The sequence below is a fragment of the Homo sapiens genome, chromosome 3, assembly GCF_000001405.40.
Source record: "Homo sapiens chromosome 3, GRCh38.p14 Primary Assembly".
Lineage (NCBI taxonomy): Eukaryota > Metazoa > Chordata > Mammalia > Primates > Hominidae > Homo > Homo sapiens.
In genome coordinates, this window is record NC_000003.12 from 132,257,820 (window position 1) to 132,281,322 (window position 23,503).

General features: G+C 40.3%; 1 pseudogene; it reads left to right on the forward strand.

Annotated features, from left to right (window-relative positions):
* The first annotated feature begins 22,798 nt into the window (after positions 1-22,798).
* LOC124906374 (uncharacterized) lies at positions 22,799-22,874 on the forward strand (annotated as a pseudogene).
* The last annotated feature ends 629 nt before the right edge of the window (positions 22,875-23,503 follow it).

Sequence of the window (23,503 nt, forward strand, 5' to 3'; positions counted from 1 at the left end):
ACACTAAAAAGCACTGGATCGCATACTTTAAAACAGTCAATGTGGCTGGGTGCGGTGGCTCACGCCTGTAATCCCAGCACTTTGGGAAGCTGAGGCAGGTGGGTTACAAGGTCAGGAGTTCAAGACCAGCCTGGCCAACATAGTGAAACCCCCATCTCTACTAAAAATAACAAAAATTAGCCAGGCATGGTGGTGCGCACCTGTAGTCCCAGCTACTCGGGAGGCTGAGGCAGAAGAATCGCTTGGACCCGGAAGGCAGAGGTTGCAGTGAGCCGAGATTGCACCACTGCACTCCAGCCTGGGTGACAGAGCGAGACTCCATCTCAAAATAAATAAATAAATAAATAAATAAATAAATAAATAAATAAATGAGTGAATGTTATGCTGTGTGGAATATACCTCAATTTTAAAATGTATGAGAAGAAAGGACAAAGAGAAGCACTTCTTTTTTTGGCAGTATGGCAGACTGCATCCATTACCACTCCCACTGAAAACTAAATGATGCCACTAAAATATTCAAAATATCTTTTAAGTATATTGATAAGCTTGCAAGAAACCAAGGAATAGTTAGAGGCCAAAATAAAAACGAGAAGAAGTAAACTGAATATTAAAGTTGGCTCTTACCTTGAAGTCATTTGCCTGGTCAAGTTACTGATTTTCTGTTTCCATGGCCTCATAGAATATGGAGGACAGGTGACAAAACCCACAGCCCAAACAACATGGATGATCTTATAGCAAACACCTCTATCTAAAGCTAGGATTTCCCAAAGGTATCCAATTTGAGCATAAGGGTAGACAATTAAGGTTAAGCCATAAGAAATTGCCAATATTTGATTATTTTTGACTTATGAAAAACAATTTTCCATGGTTCAACCTACACTTAGCCCTCAGTGATCCCCCTATCCAAACTCCCAGAAATTGCAAGGAAAATTGCACTTTAAAACTTGGAAATGAGTAAAGAGGAAAATAATTCCCTTGAGGAATAAATGTTCACTCAGAATTACATGTTAAAGAAAGACATTTTTGAAAAACAGGAACAAGTAAAGACATTTTCAAATGCCTAACAGATGGACCAACAGATTCTCACTAAAGAAATTTGTAATGAATGTTCATCCTACAGAAGAAAAGTGATTCCAGATGAAAGAGCCAAGATGAAAAGAAATGTCACTATTATATTAACCAAAATAAAGCTAGTAGAGCTACATTATTGTCCATCAAGATAGACTTTTAGACAGAAAGAAAAACAAAAGATAAGATGGTCGGCACATATTTTAAAGAGATGCATTCTCCAGGAAGAAATACTGACTAAATTCTTTCTAATAAAATATTTTTCAAATGTATTAGCAAAGGTTGACAGAAAACAAGAGAAATGAAAAAATATATCATAATGACAGTTTTCAATACACCTATCTCTGTAATTGACAGATCAAGACAAAAATCAGTAAAGACATAGAAAATCTGAATAAATCATAAGAAGCTTGATCTATTGAGGACTAACTGACATACACAGAATACTACAACCAAAACACCCAATCTTTTCAAACACAGAGAGAATCGTTATGTACTGGACTGGAAATAAAGTCTCAAAAACTTCCCAGGAATTAGTGTCAGACACACTAGCTCAGATCACAATGTGGTTAAGTTAGAAATAAATACCAAACACACAAAACCGCTTATGTATGGAAATAAACATACATCTAAATACTTCATGGGTTATAGAAGAAATCTTAATAGGACTTACAATATATTCGGCAATGAATAATAATGGACTACCTCATTTTATAATTTATGAAATGCAGCTAAAATAGTACTTAAAAGGAAATATATAACCTTAAATATACCAATGAGAGGACGGGAGAGATTGAAATCAATAGCTAAGTCTCTCTGCTGATCACTTTCAGGGCACCCCTGTAGATCTATTAGTTGCCCTTCTGTCCATTGTTCTGTGCTTCCAAAAGGCTTACCTGTAAAGACTGCATCATCCCAGCTACTTTCCTGCTGACTTCCACTTGGGTTTACTCAATGGGTGACACTCACAGGACATAAGAGATTAGAAAGAGGGATAAGGATTTTTATATATCTGCTCCCTCCTTACTTAAAGCCATGGTTTTAGCAGAGGCCCAAGGTCGTGGCTTTTTTGAGCAGCCCCTTTATCAAAGGTCTGGAAAGAGTCTACCTTCCCCCTCACAACTGAGTAATGAGGCTTACTACTGTTGCTAGTTCTGGGTAACTCATCTCTTATTGGTTTCTTTAACCCTGACACATTTATGTAAATACTCTCCTCCTTACACTCTCTTAAGTCTTCCTTTGACTATGCCATCTATTTCTTGCCAGGACCTTGGCAGACAGAGCATCCCACTTAAGAAGTTAAGAAAAGAGAAACAGAATAAACCCAGCAAAAGTAGATGGAAGAAAAAATAAAGATAAGTAGAAATTAATGCAATATAAAGCACATATACAGTAGAGAGGACCAACAAAGACAAAAGTTGACAAACTATTTGCATGATTGAGCAAGGAAAAAAAATAATATTAAAAATGTAAAGGACATAGCTAAATATAATGTCGAGATTTAAAAGATACCGAGAGAATAGTATAATTTTATGCCAATAAATTTGAAAACAAAGAAATGAATAAATTTGTAGAAAAATATAATGCAATTTCAATTAAAAATCCAGAAGATACAACCCTATCAATGGGTGTCATGCATCCATCTCAGACAGGAATCCAGGAGTCAATTATTAAGTCAATTATTAAAGAATTTTGTGAGCTGATTGTTAAACTGTTGGTAGCTTGATGTTGGCCAGGGTGGGAGTATTCACACTACAAAAATAAGTGAACACTACAACAATTATAGAATTTGAGTCATTAGTTAAAAATCTGCCCACAAAAACTTCGGGCTTCAAGGGTTTAACCAGCAAGCTCTACGAAACATTCATTAAACAAGTAATTCTAGTCTTCTATAAACTCTTTCAGGTAAACAGAGAATCATTTGATGAGTTTAGCATAACTTTGATGTCCAATATGATGAAGTATGAATGAGAAAAGTCACAGGACACTCTTATTACTAACTAAGCAAAAAATGCTAAACACAAAGTAAAGCAAATCCAGTGATGTGTATAAAATATAACATGAATAAAATGGATTTTCCCAGAAATACTTTCATTAGAAGGCATAACACTAGAAAATCTTTTTTTATTTTTTATTTTTTTATTTATTTTTATTTTTATTTATTTTTTTTTTTTGAGACAGAGTCTTGCTCTGTCACCCAGGCTGGAGTGCAGTGGCATGATCTCGGCTCTGCCTCCGGGTTCATGCCATTCTCCTGCCTCAGCCTCCCGAGTAGCTGGGACCACAGGCGCCCACCACCACGCCCAGCTAATTTTTTGTATTTTTAGTAGAGACGGGGTTTCACCATGTTAGCCAGGATGGTCTTGATCTCCTGACCTCGTGATCTGCCCACCTCAGCCTCCCAAAGTGCTGGGATTACAGGCGTGAGCCACCGCGCCCAGTCTAGAAAATCTTTTAATTCTCCACTTAATACATTTATGAACTTATGTCATCATCTCAATAGATTAAAAAGAACCTCAATAATACTCATCATTTTAAAAAAGAAGAAAAACTCCTAACATATCGAGAATAGGGGAGAATTTCTTTAACCTAATAAAGAGTAACCCCCACAAATTCCCACCCCCAGCAAAAGAAAAAGAAAAAAATGTGGTAACACATTGAATGCATTTTTTGTAAAGTCAGAAACAACTCATGGGCACCCAATGACTTTCGCTACTTCTATGTAACATTGTCCTAAGGGTTTTAGCTGGCATTTTAAGGCATGGAAAAGAAATAACCTGTACAAAATAACAAGGCTTATTGCAAAATATAGCGTGGGAGAAGGTAGCTGTCACCATTCTCAAGGAGGAAGTTTAAACCCAATAACTATACCACAACAAAACTTGAAGGCAAAGAGAAAAGATTTATAGAGAAAGACCCAAGAAGCTAGAAAAAGTTTCCCTCCTTCTTCTTCCATAATGATTTTTCTGACAGGTGAAGCCACCGCCACCACCACCACCACCACCACCACCAGGGAATCATTAAGAGCCCTTAGATCTCACCAGGTACTATAGAATCTGGAAACACAGTGAGCAAGAAATCTCATTCCATCAGGCCCATTCTAGCCACCAGTAGCCATCCCAAGGTAAAGCAATTGCTCCTGCCCCCCTGGAATGATGAATCCCCTATTCTCTGCCCTCCTTGAATGGCTGGTGGTTTCAGCTATGAGTGTGGTGTACTGATGCTCAAAGTGTAGTCCAAGGACTGTTGTAGGTCTACTCTTTGTTACTGGTCGCTAACAAGAAAAGTGCAGAAATGAAGAGTAAGCAAACAGAACCTGTATAGCAACTTGACACAGTCATTTCACATCTGTTGAATCTAACGATAATTTTTTTAAATTCTGGCTTATATTTGCAAGTCTTTTTTCTCAATTTTATTTTTCTATTAATTTATTTTTAGTGTATTTTTTAAAATCATGAAGGGATTGAAAAATTTAAAACAAACAAAACAACCAAACAAAAAAAAAAACTGATCCCTCACCTGGGGCACTTTTAAAATTCTTAGTGCCCCGCCTAAACCCTACACCTACACCTATTGCATCAGAATATCTAGGGTGGCACCAGACATCAATATTTCTTTATAATCCAGGCTATTGTAGTTTGCAAACAGGGTGAAGCCTTCCTCTCCAAAGCATGCCTGTGGAGCAACAGCATTGGCATCACCCGGAGCTCATTAGAACTACAGAGACTCAGACCCCACCCAGACCTATGGAACCATAATTGCATTTCAACAAGAAGATTGTATGCCCACTCAAGTCTGAAAAGGTTAAATTTAGAGAATGATATCAGAGGTATTGGTCTGCTTTTCAAGGCCCCAAGAGCACAGAGATTTTTCTGGAGAGGGAGTGCGAAGTGGGTCATCACCAGCACTAATATTACCACAGGGACTTCCTAATTGACTATCCTTCCCACAGCTGGCAAGGTGACCTTTCCTAAACAAACCTGTTACTGCTCTCCTGGGGCCTACAAGATCAAGTCCAAACCCCTGACAGCACAGGATACTCACCACCCCTCACCCCATCCCCAACATTTTGTCCCCTTCTTATCTGCTCAACCTCCTTCACACACACTCACACACCACACTTTACATACACATCATACCCACTCACACACACCACACACACGCCATGCAAACACTCCATCCATACCACATATACTCTACATACACATCATATACACACATACCATACACACTGTCACACACACCGCATACACCACACACACCCACACATACCACACACACATATACATCACAGACACCATACCCACTCACACACAGAAACATATACCCCACACATACCACACACATGCTCATACATACACACCACACACACACTGCACATACACACCCCACACACTCCACATACATATCACACACCCTCACACTCACACACACACACACACACACTCTGGACACAACTCCATTCCTCTGCTAATTCCCCTATCTCTGCCTAAAATTCTACCCCCTCTCAATCCTCAATTAATGTCACCCTCTTGCCTACCTAAAGAACTCCTTCCCCTGGTGGCTCACAACTGTAATTCTAGCATTTGAGGAGGCAGACACATGAGAATCACTGGATCCCAAGTCTGAGACCAGCCTGGACAACATAGAAACTCCTCATCTCTGAAAAAAAAGAAAAATTAGGTGTTGTCCACCTGTAGTCTCAGATACTTGGGAGGCAGAGACAGGAGGATGGCGTGAGCCCAGGAGTTTGAGGCTGCAGTGAGCCATGATTGTGCCACTGCACTCTAATCTGGGCAACAGAGCGAGACCCTGTCTCAAATAAATAAATAAATAAAATGACTTTCCATACTTCAAGACACAAGTCAAATATCTCCTTCTCCATGAAACCTCCTAGAAAAGGCAGGCATTTCCTCCTCCAATTTCCCACAGCTTCTCCTACAACCATTCAAATATAGCTATGATTATAGAGTGGGAATTGTTTACATGTCTGTCTTGCTCATGGCTTTGTGCTCTCCCTACTACTTTCTCTCTATGGCACCTCACATCCACTTTGTAGCAAAAGGAATCAGAATTTTGTAAGAATCACCAGTCAAGGATCTAACTAGATCCCAATCTCTCCTCACAACTACATCACTGGTTCGTGGAATTTCCCCTTGAAGATGCACAATCAATTAACCATACTCGGGAAATATTTAATAAATGCTGCCTTGGGAATCCAAAGATGAAGACATTCACGCAGAGAATATCCTTCTGCAACATTTGACTATTCCATTCTCCATTCCCGCCCAGTAAGTACTTTAAAACAGTCACAATCCAATGAAAAGGTGAGATGACGGCACTCTTCACATTTTTTCACAAAGCTTTCAAGAGTAAAGATTAAAATACGTATAAACCACACCCATAAGATGATATTTTAAATACAGTTAATTCTCATTATTCATGGTAGTTATGTACTATAAATTCACCTGGAACTCTCATTTAGCAAATACTCAACCACTGCTCCTAAGGAAATACTAGGTAGGTTCCTGCAAGCCTTTGGTCACAACATCTTAATCACTGGGGGGAGTGGAGGGGCTACTTTTTATTAGGTTAAAGCGATTCCCATCTATTCTTGATGCGTTAGTTTTTCTTCTTTTTAAAAATGATGAATATTATTGGAGTTCTTTTTATCTATTGAGATCATGGCATAAGTTTCTTAAGGTGGAGAATTACACTAAAAGATTTTCTAATATTAAGCCATCCTTGCATTTCTGGGAAAAATCCATTTTGTTTATGTGACATTTTGTACACATCATTGAATTTCCTGATTTTTTGCGTAGCATTTTTGCTTCCATGTTAACAAGCAAGATTCTGCTATGATTTTTGTATTCATACTTTATCAGATTGGACATCAAAATTATGCTAAATTCATTAAATGAGTCTCTGTTTACATAAAATGGTGTCTAAGACTGGAATTACTTGTTTTACAAATGTTTGATAGAGCTTACTGGCTAAACCCTTGGAGCCTGTGACCACACTTGTTGGACAACTCAAGTTTTTACCCACTCTGAACATGTCCACAAATGACTGTGAAAGCATCACAACTGTTGATTTGGGAGTTACAAATAAATTTGTATCAAGTAAGTATATTCACAAATATGGAATCTGCAAATAGTAAAGATTGACTCTATCTAACAAGTGGTAGGGTAAGAGCATTAACAAACCAGAAGAGTTGCAAATCACATTATTTAAGATCCTAGGGACTCCTGATGTGCCAGGCAAGAATACCTTGATTGCAGACTGCTGAGTCATGTGGAGCTCTAGGGAGAGTCCAAAGGAAGAGCTGGGCAGCTGGGGTGGCATAGGGACAGCAGCTATTTACCAATCCATTAGGGAAGAATTGCAATATCTTGTATTCATCACTTTAACTAAACTGGCCCTTCCTGATACCAAAGTAATACCAGGCTGAGAAATTCCAAATTTCTCCTATTACTCATTATTTTGTAAATCTGTTTGACCCACTTACATTGGAAACTGTATTATCCCTCCTCCAGACAGAAAACCTAATTATATCTTAAGAAAGGGGAAATCTGACACTGAAATGATTTTAATAGCAATCTGTTGGTACTAGCAAACTGATTATATTTCATATGGTACCTCTCCCAGTCTTCATGGACAGGAGCAGAGTCTTCTCTGTAGAAACTGCAATGTTGTCCAAATTTGCAAAATGCCAATTCTAGATAATGACACTCAAGTGCTGAGGGAAGTGGAAGGAACAGCCTGTTACCTTCTACTTCAGTGCTTTGATGGCTGAAATGGGAGGAGTCATAGACTGGCTCTGGCTCAATGCCCTTCAAGGGATAATCTAGTCTAGAGCAGTGCTTTGCAAAATACAATGTGCTTACAAATCGCATGAGAATCTTGGTAAAGTGCAAATACTGATTTAGTAGGTTTGGACTGGGGCCTGAGACTTTACATTTCTAACAAGCTCCGAGCGACTGCTGCTGGTCCAGGGACCACACTATGCATATCAAGGGTCAAGACTGGAGTAGTGGTTCTCAGTCACACTTGGGCATGCATCAGAATTACAGAGAGAAAGCCTGTTAAAGCATAGATTGCTGCCCCAGAGTTTCAGATTCAGTAGCTCTGACTTGGGCCTAATAATTTGCCTTTTTAACAAATTCCCAATTGACAATAATGCTGGAAGTTTGGGGATGGCATGTTGAGAATTACTGATCTAGACTAGAAAGGCAAACCCTTAGAACCATGTTTCCTCCAGCATTTCCATAGACATAAAAATGCTAGCCTTTCATCATGTTGACAAAGAACTTATATTTCCATAAAAGATATAACTCTAATGATGAAGTTCCCAAGGACAGGGGCCACATCTTGTATTCATTTGATACAATATAAATATAGTAAGAGCAATTAATACAGTCTAGATTTATGGCAATTAAATAATGAATTTTACTATCTGATGTAACATTTTACCCTTTTAGTGCTGTCTCAACTGGTGCAAAGCTGATCACTAGCTGCCAACTCTTGCTCTTAATTCATTTTTACAAATTTCAAAGTCTCCCTCTTCTCTCTCCTTTTTTCCAAATGAAAAGCCCTAGAAAGAAAGCAACTGGGAGTCAGGGGGTTATGGCTCCTTTACTTTTTATCTCTTATGCCTAAAAAAGACCTGTCAAGTCAGGCACAGTGGCTCACGCCTGTAATCCCAGCACTTTGGGAGGCCAAAGCAGACAGATCACCTGAGGTCAGGAGTTCAAGACCAGCCTGACCAACGTGGAGAAACCCCGTTTCTATTAAAAATACAAAATTAGCCGGGCACGGTGGCACATGCCTTTAATCCCAGCTACTCGGGAGGCTGAGGCAGCAGAATTGCTTGAACCCAGGAGGCAGAGGTTGCAGTGAGCTGAAATCACACCATTGCACTCCAGCCTGGGCAACAAGAGTGAAACTCTGTCTCAAAAAAAAAAAAAAAAAAACTTGTCAAAGTGTAAGTGCTCAATAAATATCTGAGGAAAAGGAAGGAAGGAAAGAGTGAAAGAAGGAAGGGAGGGAGGAAAAAAGGGAGAGAGAGAAGAGAGAGAAAGAAAGAAGGGAAAAAAAGAGGGAGGAAACATAATACCCTTAGTTAAATTTGTAGTTTGCCATTGGCATGTCTTCAAAATGATTAAGCTGAATAGCTTTCTAAAGGCAGAATTTTGATTCATTTTAGTTGGGCCTCTATTCCAGATGAAGTCCTTCCAGCAATAAAAATTGAAATGATTTCTTAATAATAATGATAATAAGTTTTCTAATCCAAAGTGTTATGATACTGTTAGCTTATACAATGCAGTTGGCAACTAGGTCACCATGTATAAGCATTATCTATAACATTGTCTTCTAACTGATATATCAGCAGATTGATTTCTCCTGTAAAAAAAGATAGCAACTACCAACCAGAGACAATCACAGTCTATTTAACCAGCTAAATAATTAAAGGCCAGATGTTTGCCCACAGCAAGTCAACTGTCCCTTAACTAACATCTTCCAAGAACCAGTGAGGCTTGGCTGCCTGTCCTGGTGATGAGACCAAGGTCTACTTACGAGCATTTACAGGTGCCTACTACATGCTGGTGATTTCTGGGAGTCAGGAGGAAGATTAAAGGAGAATCAGGTGCAGCCTATAGCTGTAGTAGTTGGCAGTTTATCTAGAGAGATGATCAGGTAAATAAGTAACTGTATTATAAGAGAGGTAAGTACAAAGGCTATGGGATGGCAGAGATAGTGTCAAAATAACTCCTTGGGAGAGTCAGGAAAGACTTGGGAAAGGGTGACATTTATGCTGGCTGTAAAAGAAGATATAAAAGTGAACTTAGAGCTGAGAGTCAAGACACAGTGTTCTCTAAGCAGAGAACGGATATGCAGACATATTGCAAATACATTCTTAGAGAAAAACAAACATCATTAAACCAGTGAGGACAGGGAGTTATCCTGTATCTCAGCATTGAGCATCTGTCACCTGTGTTCACCCAGGCCGATACTTGTAGGTACAGTTTAATTCAGGGCTTGAGGACAACAGCAAACAATTCATTAAGAGTGACTATGGGGCCAGGCACAGTGGCTCACGCCTATAATCCCAGCACTTTGGGAGGTCAAAGTGGGCAAATCGCTTTCTATCTAAAAAAAAAAAAAAAAAAAAGAACAAAACAACAACAACAAAAAGAATGACTATGGCATGAGAACCATGTAGAGTTTACTGCACAGCTCCAGTAGCAGGCACACAGTTCCATATCTACTGAGATTGGTTTGGCATTAATTTCCATTTTCTCATCACCAAGGAACTGGTAAAAGTCTTAGCCACTGGAACTGTTACACCAGATTTCAAATCTTCTTTCACTGTTTATGATCTGCTGATCCACTCTTCTGAGTCTTATGCTGTTTTCATCCCAGTACAACCTGCCCTGTTTTCTTGGACCAGAACCTGTACTTTTAATACCTGTTTCAATGTATATTCCAGGGACACTTTCATAACGGAGACTTTGCCAATAGTTTTGCCATGAAGAATTCTCCTGCTTACTATGTGAATTGTTGGCCAGCAAATGGCTTCTCTTGCGGGGGTCCATCCTACAGACACTGACCCAATGACAGATGAATAACGTACACTGACACATATATTCTGCTTGTCAGTCTGGCTAAGGGTCCGGGCCCCTCACAGATACCAAGGAAGGTGCTGTAAAGAGTAGCAGCCGTGGCCCCGTTCAGCCAACAAAGCTCACATTTATTCAGTATGGATTAAATGACAAAGGTCTTGAGTAAACACTGTTAGAGGGTAATTGACCTGGTTGCCGATCCACCAGTAGACAGAAATTATGCACCCGTGGTTGATTAAAGGTTGGTCTTAGGACCACATGAGTAAACAAGCTATTTAGATAAACTACTCTATATTCCTATGTATCTACACCCTACGCTTTTAAGGGAGTTCAGCTGTCTTCAGCCAAACACTTTACACAAACCCCCAGGCCTTCTAAGAGGGTTTGTGTTTAATTCCTATAATTTCATCTTAAAATTTTTCCCACCAGCCTGACTGAACTCCCACATTCTCTCTTTGGTGACAAACCCTGCAGCTTTCTCTCCCTCTTTCTTATTTAAACATTTACTTTCCAGAGCAGCTGCCTGTTTGTTCTTAGTGATTAGCAGTCTCCTGTGGTGGAACAAGGAGAAAAGCATGGTATATCTTGAGGCTTTTTGGTGAAAGAAATACCTTCTTGAATGGATTTGAGCTGCAAATGGGTCCCCCTTGTGGTGAAGTTTCCCACTGGGAGAAAAAGAAACACATGGCCAGCCAGGCGCAGTGGCTCATACCTGTAATACCAGCACTTTGGGAGACTGAAGCAGGTGGATCACAAGGTCAGGAGTTCGAGACCAGCCTGGCCAACATGTTGAAACCCCCATCTCTACTAAAAATACAAAAATTAGCCAGGTGCAGTGGCAGGCACCTGTAATCCCAGATATTTGGCAGGCTGAGGCAGGAGAATCGCTTGAACCCAGGAGGTGGAGGTTGCAGTGAGCCAAGATCGTGCCACTGCACCCTAGCCTGAGCGACAGAACGAGACTCCATCTCAAACAAACAAACAAACAAACAAAAAACACACGGATTCACTCATTCAACAATATTTATGAAGCATCTGCTTATATGCCTGGCATTATCCCAGGTGTTAGGATATGGTGGTAAGCAAAACAGATTAAAAATTCCTTGCCTATCTGAACTATGTGATGCCTCTTTGTAATTTCATAGGAGCTCAAGCTTGCACCTTTAAACAATTCTGAGATGACCATCATGTAGGCTATACAAAGACATGAAGAAATATAAGAGCAGAATCATTCAACGAGCTGTGGAAAACCATGCCTGTTATTTCTGTGCTTCTCCCATCTAACACAAGTGCCTGGTGTAATTTTTATTTTATTCAATAAACATTTATTGAGTGCCTACAATTTATCAGGCAGTTATATTTCAGAACAATATTTTTCAAACTTTAACGGACATGTGAATCACTTGGAGATCTTGTTAAAAAGCAAATTTTGATTCATTTGATGCAAAAGTGGGGTTGGGGGTGGGGTGCAGGGGCTTAGATTTTGCATTTCTAACAACCTTCCAAGTGACGCCAATGTTGCTGGTTCATGCACCATACTTTGACACAATCACTTACATTCTGGTGGAAGACAGGTAAGTCAACAATTAGAGAATAGTAAGTTGAGGCCGGGTGTGGTGGCTCACGCCCGTAATCCCAACACTTCGGGAGGCCGAGGTGGGCTGATCACTTGAGGTCAGAATGTTTGAGACTCTGTCTCTACAAAAATACAAAATAAGCTGGGCGCAGTGGAGTGCGCCTGTAGTCCCAGCTACTCGGGAGGCTGAGGCAGAATTGCTTGAACCAGGAGGCAGAGGCAGAGGTTGCAGTGAGCTGAGATAGCACCACTGCACTCCAGCCTGGGCAACAGAGTGAGACTGTGTCTCAGAAAAAAAAAAAAAAAAAAAACAGAGAGAGAGGCCCGGCACGGTGGTTCACTCCTGTAATCCCAGAACTTTGGGAGGCCAAGGCGGGTGGTGGGGCATGAAGTCAGGAGATCGAGCCATGCTGGCTAATACAGTGAAACCCTGTCTCTACTAAAAATACAAAAAATTAGCCAGGCGTGATGGTGCATGCCTGTAATCCCAGCTACTCAGGAGGCTGAGGCAGGAGAATCACTTGAACCAGGGAGGCAAAGGTTGCAGTGAGCTGAGATTGCACCACTGCCCTCCAGCCTGGGGGACAGAGTGAGACTCCATCACAAAAAAAGAGAAAAAAAAAAGAAAGAGAGCGAGAATGGTAAACTGATATATAGAAAACACAGTGTAGCGGGAGAACAGAGGAGGACACAGAGTAAGAACTAAAGATGGGGACAATAGGATGAAACCGGTCTCCTGAAATACAACTCTGAGTCCAGTATGAAGGGTAAAGAGGGAGAGACTGAAGACATAAGCTAATACTCACACCAATAAGGATAACATTTATTATTTACATCATGCTAAGCATTGTGCAAAGTGCTTTATAGCCTAAAACTCATTGAATCCTCTCAATAGCCCTATGAGATAGGTAGCTATGGTAGACAGAATAATGTCCCCAAAGATGCTCATGTCCTAATCCCTGGAAACTGTCAATATGCAAAAGGAGAATTAAGGTTGTGTAGGAAATGAAGTTTACTTGTCATTTGATTTTAAACTAGGGAGAGTATCCCGGATTACCCAGATGGGCCCAGTGAAACCATAAGGCTCCTTACAGTGAAAGAGGGAAGCCGAAGAAGAGTCTGTGTTCGAGTGATGCCATGTGAGAAAGTTTCAACCAGCCACTGCTAGCTTTAAGGACAGAAAGGGGCCATGAACCAAGGAATACAGGCAGCCTCTAGAAATGGAAAAGCAAGCAAATGGCAGTTTCACCTAGAACCTCTAGAAGGAATGCAGCCCTACCAACACCTTAATTTTAGCCCAGTGAGACCTATTTTCGGCTCCTGACCTCTAGAACCATGAGATAATAAATTTGTGGGTTTTTTAATTTTTGATTTTTATAGGTACATAGTGGGTATGTATATTTATGGGATACATGAGACCAATACAGGCATACAATGTGTAATCATCACATCAGGGTAAATGGGGTATCCATCACCTCAAGCATTTATCATTTCTTTGTGTTACAAACATACCAATTACACTCTTTTAGTTTTGTTTTTTGTTTGTTTGTTTGTTTGTTTTTGAGATGGAGTCTTGCTCTGTTGCCCAGGCTGGAGTGCAGTGGTACGATCTCGGTTCACTGCAAGCTCTGCCTCTTGCCTCAGCCTCCTGAGTAGCTGTAATTACAGGTGTGCACCACCATGCCCGGCTAATTTTTGTATTTTTAGTAGAGATGGGGTCTCACGACATTGGCCAAGCTGGTCTCGAACTCCTGACCTCAGGTGATCCGCCCGCCTTGGACTCCCAAAGTGCTGGGATTACAGGTGTAAGCCACCATGCCCAGCTCTTTTAGTTATTTTTAAATGTACAATAAATTATTGTTGCCTGTAGTCACCCTTTTGTGCTCTCAAATACTAGATGTTATTCATTGAATTTGTATTGTTTTAAGCCACCAGAGTTGGGGTAATTTCTTATAACAGTCATTGGAAACTAATACAGTATTATTTAAAGATAAGGAAATGGATGCACAAAAGTTCATTAACTTACTAGTAAGTAGCTAGTTTGGGGTCTGAACTCTGGATTCATGTTAACTACACCTTAGTAGATTCTGGATCTAAGAAATAGGACTTGACAGGATTTGGTAACTATCTAATATGCAAGGATTCAGGAGATGAAGAAATCTAGAACACCACCAAGGTTTCTAGTTCAAACCACTGTTGGGGAAATGACACCACTCATTGATGAAAATATAAGAAATGAACGAGCAATTAGTAATTACGGGAGATGCTTAAAACATATTTGTATTTGAATTGCACACTCAAATCCAGATTCTGCCGGTAGTCAAGCTAAACTGTGGTAATTCTCTTAAGACATAATATCCTCAATCTGATCTTCTCTCTGGCTCCTCATTCAAGTTCAATAGATGCAGAGTTGGGATGAGGAGATGCAAAAAACACATGTGAGAGATATTGTCAAACAGGGTCAGCCTTTATCTTTCAAAAGAGGACATCTCTGTAGTGTGAGAATTATTATTCAATTGGCACTTCCCTTCAAAGTTATGAACTTACCTCAAGATCAACTTAGAAAATAGCTGCCTATCAAACATTCCTAATTCCCTCTGCTTCAACCCACAATACAATACAAAGATTTGAGGAACCTCCTTTGAGAGACACTTTTTAACTTTAAGTTCAGAGGGAAATGTCCGACCAGCTAATTTAGCTAAAACTCCCTGCCGGAGAAAGGCTCTGTTGTGTAAGCAGGCTTTGAAGTTTCAATGACTTGGGTTTCAATGTTGGTTCTGCTGCTTACTATCTGTGTGATCTTGGACAAGTTACTTAACCTCTCTGAGCCTTCTTTCCTCATTATTGTGAGGATTAAATGAGACACATATGTAAAATGCCTGGTACATGAAAGGCACTTAATCAACATTTTCTTTAAATTTTAAATCAGAAAAATATATGGTAAAACAGAAAGGAAAAAAATCTTAATGTATCATTACCTATTATGGGAAGTCACTTTAACACAGTACATTTTTATCACCTCTAAAATGTCCCTCAGTCTTCGCAGCTACTTAACAAGTAAAATGGAGATCTCTGACATCTACCATATAACTCAGCTGATTTATTACCCAGGTTCAAATTCCGAGCTTCCACGCTCTGCAGGGCCTGCTGGAATGACAACTTCACTTAATACACGAAGACCTGGGATCAAATTTCCCCCGCTCTTCTAGGGTCACTCAACCCAGTCAGCTCATCACGTGTAACCCATGTAAAAGCAGGCCCCCATGAAGTCCAGTCTCAAACCACAGTTGTACCAAAGAAACAAAGAACACCAGGAACACAAAATAGCAGAATCAAATATTTTCCTCTTTTCTAGATTATCTCCCCTCCACAAATACTCACAGCTATACTCTTCTCTCAGAAAGCCACACTTTACTCCCTTACTTTATTCAGGTCTCTGCTTAAGTGTCACCTGTTCAAAGACACCTCCCTGATATCTCTAAGCATCTTTTGTTTCTGTCCCTTTATCCTGTTTAATGTTTCTTCATAGAACTTGTTACTATCTAAAACTATATCATAGATTTATGTTTGAGTATTGTCTACTTCTTCCACTCTCATATAAGCTCTAGGAAGACAAGATCTTTTTCTGTTTTGTTATGATTCTTATCATCATGATTCACTGCTGTATACCCAGCACTTAAAACTGATCTAGGCACATAACACATGCCCAGTAAATTTTTGTTAGCTGAATATCAAAAGATCAGTGTTCTTATATTATGGATATGTAACTCAAGTAAAGGAACAAAGAACAAAGATGCTCCAGAAAGGACAGTGTTCTTTTAACTTGACTAGTGGAGCCAACATAGATTGACCTTATAAGGGTCTATTTGGGAACATGAGAAACACCCTCTCCAAATAACCTGCTTTGTTCTTTTCCAAAAGGCATACAACACAGATTATTGCTCAGAACAGTGAGTTCATACCAAGAGCAGAGGGAGTAGAGAGCAAACAATAGTTTATATGAAGGTAAGAAGTAAGTGGCTGGAACGAAGGTTGGTACAAAAGCTTATGGTCACGTGAGGAAAGTAATCTCAAGTTCTGGGGTAGCTTCACTTAAGAGGGACATAGTTTTTCAGAGAACAAGGGAAGAAGGCCTATGAAGCTCAGGGCAAGATGTACACACAGAACTAATTTCTCTCTTTTCTGCACACTCTGGGCACACACAAGTTAGGTAATTATTAGTTTATCTGATTTAAGTTGCCTCACTCAGAAATATTTCCCAAGAGTGAATGTGCTTTGTTTTTCTCTATATCACCAGCTTCTACTTCAGTGCCTAGTATTGTTGAGGCTCAGAAAACAAATGAAGGCCTCAGAATCAAAAGTTTTTTCTCTGATCTTCTCCTGACCTCCTGTCTCCCAGACCCATTCTGCCCGAAAGTGGGCCATAGAAATTATTTTTTCTTATTTTATTATTATTATACTTTAAGTTTTAGGGTACAGGTGCACAACGTGCAGGTTTGTCACATATGTATACATGTGCCATGTTGGTGTGCTGCACCCATTAAGTCATCATTTAGCATTAGATATATCCCCTAATGCTATCCCTCCCCCCTCCCCCCACCCCACAACAGGCCCCAGTGTGTGATGTTCCCCTTCCTGTGTCCATGTGTTCTCATTGTTCAGTTCCCACCTATGAGTGAGAACATGTGGTGTTTGATTTTTTGTCCTTGCGATAGTTTGCTGAGAATGATGGTTTCCAGCTTCATCCATGTCCCTACAAACGACATGAACTCATCATTTTTTATGGCTGCATAGTATTCCATGGTGTATATGTGCCACATTTTCTTAATCCAGTCTATCATTGATGGACATTTGGGTTGGTTCCAAGTCTTTGCTATTGTGAGTAGTGCCACAATAAATATACGTGTGCATGTGTCTTTATAGCAGCATGATTTATAATCCTTTGGGTATATACTCAGTAATGGAATGGCTGGGTCAAATGGTATTTCTAGTTCTAGATCCCTGAGGAATCACCACACTGACTTCCACAATGGTTGAACTAGCTTACAGTCCCACCAACAGTGTAAAAGTGTTCCTATTTCTCCACATCCTCTCCAGCACCTGTTGTTTCCTGACTTTTTAATGATTGACATTCTAACTGGTGTGAGATGGTATCTCACTGTGGTTTTTATTTGCATTTCTCTGATGGCCAGTGATGATGAGCATTTTCTCATGTGTTTTTTGACTGCATAAATGTCTTCTTTTGAGAAGTGTCTGTTCATATCCTTTGCCCACTTTTTGATGGGGTTGTTTGTTTTCTTCTTGTAAATTTGTTTGAGTTCATTGTAGATTCTGGTTATTAGCCCTTTGTTAGATAAGTAGGTTGCAAGAATTTTCTCCCATTCTGTAGGTTGCCTGTTCACTCTGATGGTAGTTTCTTTTGCTGTGCAGAAGCTCTTTAGTTTAACTAGATCCCATTTGTCAATTTTGGCTTTTGTTGACATTGCTTTTGATGTTTTAGACATGAAGTCCTTGCCCATGCCTATGTCCTGAATGGTAATGCCTAGGTTTTCTTCTAGGGTTTTTATGGTTTTAGGTCTAATGTTTAAGTCTTTAATCCATCTTGAATTAATGTTTGTATAAGGTGTAAGGAAGGGATCCAGTTTCAGCTTTCTACATATGGCTAGCCAGTTTTCCCAGCACCATTTATTAAATAGGGAATCCTTTCCCCATTGCTTGTTTTTCTCAGGTTTGTCAAAGATCAGATAGTTGTAGATATGCGGTGTTATTTCTGAGGGCTCTGTTCTGTTCCATTGGTCTATATCTCTGTTTTGGTACCAGTACCATGCTGTTTTAGTTACTGTAGCCTTGTAGTATAGTTTGAAGTCAGGTAGTGTGATGCATCCAGCTTTGTTCTTTTGGCTTAGGATTGGATTTACTTGGCAATGCAGGCTCTTTTTTGGTTCCATATGAACTTTAAAGTGGGCCATAGAAATTATTATCCCTCTTCCCCAAGGCGGTTCATAGAAACCAGAACCCCTTTTCCGCAATGCCAGCCATAAAACCTAAAAATATTACTCTAATTTTCTCTCTGTTTTTCTGTGTAAAAATTGGCCACATAGCCAGTCATGGTGGCATGCACCTGTAGTCCCAGCTACTCGGGAGGCTGAGGCAGGGGAATCATTTGAACCCGGAAGGTGGAGGTTGCAGTGAGCCAAGATCACACCACTGCACTCCAGCCTGGTGACAGAGCAAGGCTCCACCTAAAAAAAAAAAAAAAAACCCCGTCCATAGAGAAATTATCTGACTTGCCTTGTTTGACTACAGGTCATGTAACTGCCCAATGTGTTCACCTTGCCTGCTGCCTAGACAGAGCCCATTTATCAAGATTGGAATTACAGTGGAGAAAGAGTAATTCACACAGAGCCAGCTGTGCAGGAGACTGGAGTTTTATGATTATTCAAATAGGTCTCCCTGAGCATTCAGTGGATCAGAGTTTTTAAAGATAATTTGGTCGGCAGGGGGTTGCAAAGTGGGGAGTGCTGATTGGTCAGGTTGGAGATGGAATCCTAGAGGGTTGAAGTGAGTTTTTCTTGCTGTTTTCTGTTACTGGGTGGGATGGCAGAACTGGTTGAGCCAGGTCTGAGTGGTGTCAGCTGATCCAGCCAGTGCAGGGTCTGCAAAATATCTCCAGCATTGATCTTAGGTTTCACAATAGTGATGTTACCCCCAGGAGCAATTTGGGGAGGTTCAGACTCTTGGAGCCAGGTTGCATGACCGCTAAGTCAAACCATGAACTGAATTCCTTCCCAAAGTCAGTTCGGCCTATCCCCAGGAGTGAACAAGGACAGCTTAAAGGTTAGAAGCAAGATGGAGTCGGTTAGGTCTGATTTCTTTCTGTTGTAGAAAGTAAAAAGTTTCCTCTTCAAAGTTCCCCATCTTGTTAAAGAATAAATCATAAGTGTTAGAAATGGCAGTTTCTTGTAAAGACTAACTTTCTTCAAGCCTCCTTGCTTTGTGCTAATAACTCTTTGTTAAGCCCTATCCTATGTAACTGTTGGACATGCTCACAAGCATGTTCCAGCTCACAGTCTATGCCCCTTCCTTATTTGGAAATGTTATTGCTTCCTTAAACCTTTTGTAAGCAACTTCTTTGTTCTTCCTTGCACTTACCTATTTAGGAAAGTTTTAGGCTATTAGCAAATCGGGTATCAGTTTAAGATTGTGAGGTTCGGCCGGGCGCGGTGGCTCACGCCTGTAATCCCAGCACTTTGGGAGGCCGAGGCGGGTGGATCATGAGGTCAGGAGATCGAGACCATCCTGGCTAACAAGGTGAAACCCCGTCTCTACTAAAAATACAAAAAATTAGCCAGGCGCGGTGGCGGGCGCCTGTAGTCCCAGCTACTCGGGAGGCTGAGGCAGGAGAATGGCGTGAACCCGGGAAGCGGAGCTTGCAGTGAGCCGAGATTGCGCCACTGCAGTCCGCAGTCCGGCCTGGGCGACAGAGCGAGACTCCGTCTCAAAAAAAAAAAAAAAAAAAAAAAAAAAAAAAAAAAAAAAAGATTGTGAGGTTCAGCTCCAGCCAATGGATGCCGGACACAGCAGTAAGGACGATCCAAATGTACAAGGGATAAATATGTCCGCTTTTCCTTTGTTCAGGTGTGCTCTCACCATTGTTCCATCTGCGATTGAGCACCCTTTCTGCAGAAAGTAAAGATTGCCTTGCTGGGAGATCTTTTGTCTCTGTGCTGACTTTTCTTTGCCACACCAATTATTTCTAACAATTTTGGTATTTCTAACAACTGTCATAATTCCCTCAGTTATAATTTTGCATAGGTGGTTTTAGTCATAAGACCCCCATTGCAGAGAGGGGCCAGCCCCATAGCCAGAAGAAAGGACTGAATGCTCAGAGAGGCCAAGAAGAATCTAGGCAGACTTTGCTTGGTTTCCCACTCAGTCCATTAGCAGGAGATCTTACCCTTTTTGTCCAATCATAGCTCTACACAGCTGTCCATACTTTGTTGAACCTAAGCATAAAAATGGGCAATTTCCCCTTTATCTTTGGGTCTTCATTCTGTAGGCTCTTTTGTATAACGTTAAATAAATTTGTATGACCTTTCTCTGATTATCTGCCTTATTGTGAGTTGATTTTTCAATGAACTATCAGAGGGCCAAGCTCTTGATCCCGACAGTATATTTCAGATTTCATTAAATACTTGTTAAATAAATACATGATAGACAACAATGTTATTTGTCGATAATTAAAATACCAAGATATAAAATTGCCATTTCTTTAAACTTTTGGCTCACACATACCTTTTAGCAGAGATATAGCAGGATGGTTTAAAAAAAAGAAAGAAAGAAAAGAAAGAAATACCAGCTTTATATTCAGGAAATTCTGGCTTTTAATACTCTATATTAAAACCAAGATTCTGTTATGTAAGCCACCCGGTTTGTGTTACTTTGTTAGCGAAGCCCCAGGAAACTAATATAAAGGGCAAAATAGGGGAAGAGGGAGGGAGAGAAGAAAGACAGCAACATCAGCCTAGTAAATTGAGTCTCTCTGGAAGAAAAAAGAAAAAAGACAAACATTCACCTAAAGCTAATTTGTTATGGGTTTTTTTGTTTTTTGTTTTTGGTGTGGTGTTTTTTTTTGGATGGAGTTTCACTCTTGTTGCCCAGGCTGGAGTGCAACAGCGCAATCTCGGCTCACTGCAACCTCCGCCTCCCAGGTTCAAGCAATTCTCCTGTCTCAGCCTCCTTAGTAGCTGGGATTACAGGTGCCCACCACTACGCCCAGCTAATTTTTGGTATTTGTAGTAGAGACGGGGTTTCATCATGTTGGCCAGGCTGGTCTCAAACCCCTGACCTCAGGTGATCCACCTGTCTCGGCCTCCCAAAATGCTGGGATTACTGGCATGAGCCACTGTGCCAGGCCAATTTCTTATGTTAACATAGCCTCAAGTTTCCCAAAAAATAGTTAATACGTGTTCCTGATGTTTAAGTGTTTCTTTCCTGAGGAGGTAATAGATGAGAAACCTTTCCCTACAGTAGTGTTTAAGGGGGTCAGCATGGGTCTTCAGCAACATCACTTGTAGTACTTGCTTGAAATTCCCATTTCTGCTTCCACTGAACCTTCCAAATCTTGAGATTCCAGGAGCATGAATTTCTTACCAGCTCCCCAGGGGATTCTTTAAGAAAACCTCTAGCTAGCAGCCTTCTGCTCCCTCTGTTGTCCAAGTTATACGTTTGTAAGTTTTATTGGTTGGTTTTATGAGGAATATGTTCCTCCACATTCTACATTTTCCTTTGTGCTAAGAAAGGATCTAAAAACATCTGAAACTCTAACATTGTAATTGAAGCTGTGGATCAAACTGTAGAAATTATAAATTCATCTGGTTGTTTATTACATCTTAGTTCATTTTGTGTTGCTTAGAATACCTGAAACTGTGTATTTTATAAAGAAAAGGAATTTATTTTCTACAGATCAGGAGGCTAAGTCCAAGGTCGAGGGGTTGCATCTAGTGACAGCCTTCTTGCTGGGGACTTCTTTACAGAGTCCCGAGGCAGCACGGGATATCACATGGCAAAGGTGCTGAGCATGAGCTCAGGTCTCTCTTTCTCTTCTTATAAAGCCACCAGTTCCCCTCCCATGATAACATAATAATCCATTAACCCATTAGTCCATGGATGGATTATTCCATTCTTGAGGGAGAGTCCTCATGCAATCATGTCTTTTTTTGTTTTCTCTGAGACAGAGTTTTGCTCTTGTTGCCTAGGCTGGAGTGCAATGGTGCGATCTCGGCTCGGTGCAATCTCGGCTCACTGCAACCTCTGCTTCCCAGGTTCAAACGATTCTCCTGCCTCAGCCTCCCGAGTAGCTGAGATTACAGGCATGAACCATCTTACCCAGCTAATTTTGTATTTTTAGTAGAGATGGGGTTTCACCCTGTTGGTCAGGCTGGTCTTGAACTCCTGACCTCAGGTGATCCTCCCACCTCAGCCCCCCAAGGTGCTGGGATTACAGGTGTGAGCCACCACACCCAGAATTCAATCATGTCTTAAAGACCCCACCTCTCAATACTGTCACACTGGGGATTAAGTTTCAATGTGAGTTTTAAAGGGTACATTTAAACCATACCACTATGGGATGTAGGTTGTTTTGATGAGGGACAGTCTCAAAATGGGAGGAAGATTAGAATATATATATATATATATAATAATACAAAGAAAAGGCTTATCTATGTGTTAACCGGGGAAAGTTTGCCACTTTGGTAGGAGAAAAAAAATTATAAAAATGGTCACTATATCAAGATAAATGCCCCTGTCTACAATGAAGATTTAATTATTGTAAATTTTTATGCAGCATCTAAATCCATAAGTCAACAACTTCTAAAAATGTAATGAGAAATAGGTAAAAATTTAATTACAGTAAGACTGTAGCTTATCTTTGAAAATTAATAAAAATAAAAAAAGTGTCCTACAGCCAAAAAACTTTAAAACTCTCTCTGAATTTGTTTCAGAAAAAATTCAAATCAAGTAAAGTAAATAGATCCTTTTGTAGTTCATAACAGTGATTACTGGGTTTTCACGTTCATGTGTGAGATGTGCCTTTCTTTTTTTTTGTTTTTGTTTGTTTGTTTTTTGAGACAGAGTCTCGCTCCGTCTCCCAGGCTGGAGTGCAGTGGCGTGATCTCGGCTCTCTGCAACCTCCGCCTCCCGAGTTCAAGCATTTCTCTGCCTCAGCCTCCCAAGTAGCTGGGATTACAGGCACCCGCCACCATGCCTGGCTAATTTTTTGTATTTTTAGTAGAGACGGGGTTTCACCATCTTGGTCAGGCTGGTCTTGAACCCTTGACCTCGTGATCCACCCGCCCCGGCCTCTCAAAGTGCTGGGATTACAGGCGTGAGCCACCGTGCCCGGCAGCCTTTTTTAAACCTTTTTACCACATCCGCACATTACCCATCTGACATGGAAAAAGAAAAGAATTGTAAATAATTTAGAAAATAACAATAAAATCACAATGCATGAGAAACTATGGGAAACCTCAAAAACCATGAGAAAAAATTCATAACTTTAAACATTTTTAATATTAACCAATAAAGAGTTGAGGACTAAACTGATTTTTTTATCTTGCCCAAATTCCCATCTAAAGAGTCTGAGGAGTCATGCCCTATAAACCATAAGTTCTCATCAGATGGGTTTTATTTAACCCTATATATCGTGGCTTTCCAACCTGACTCTAGCATAACATTA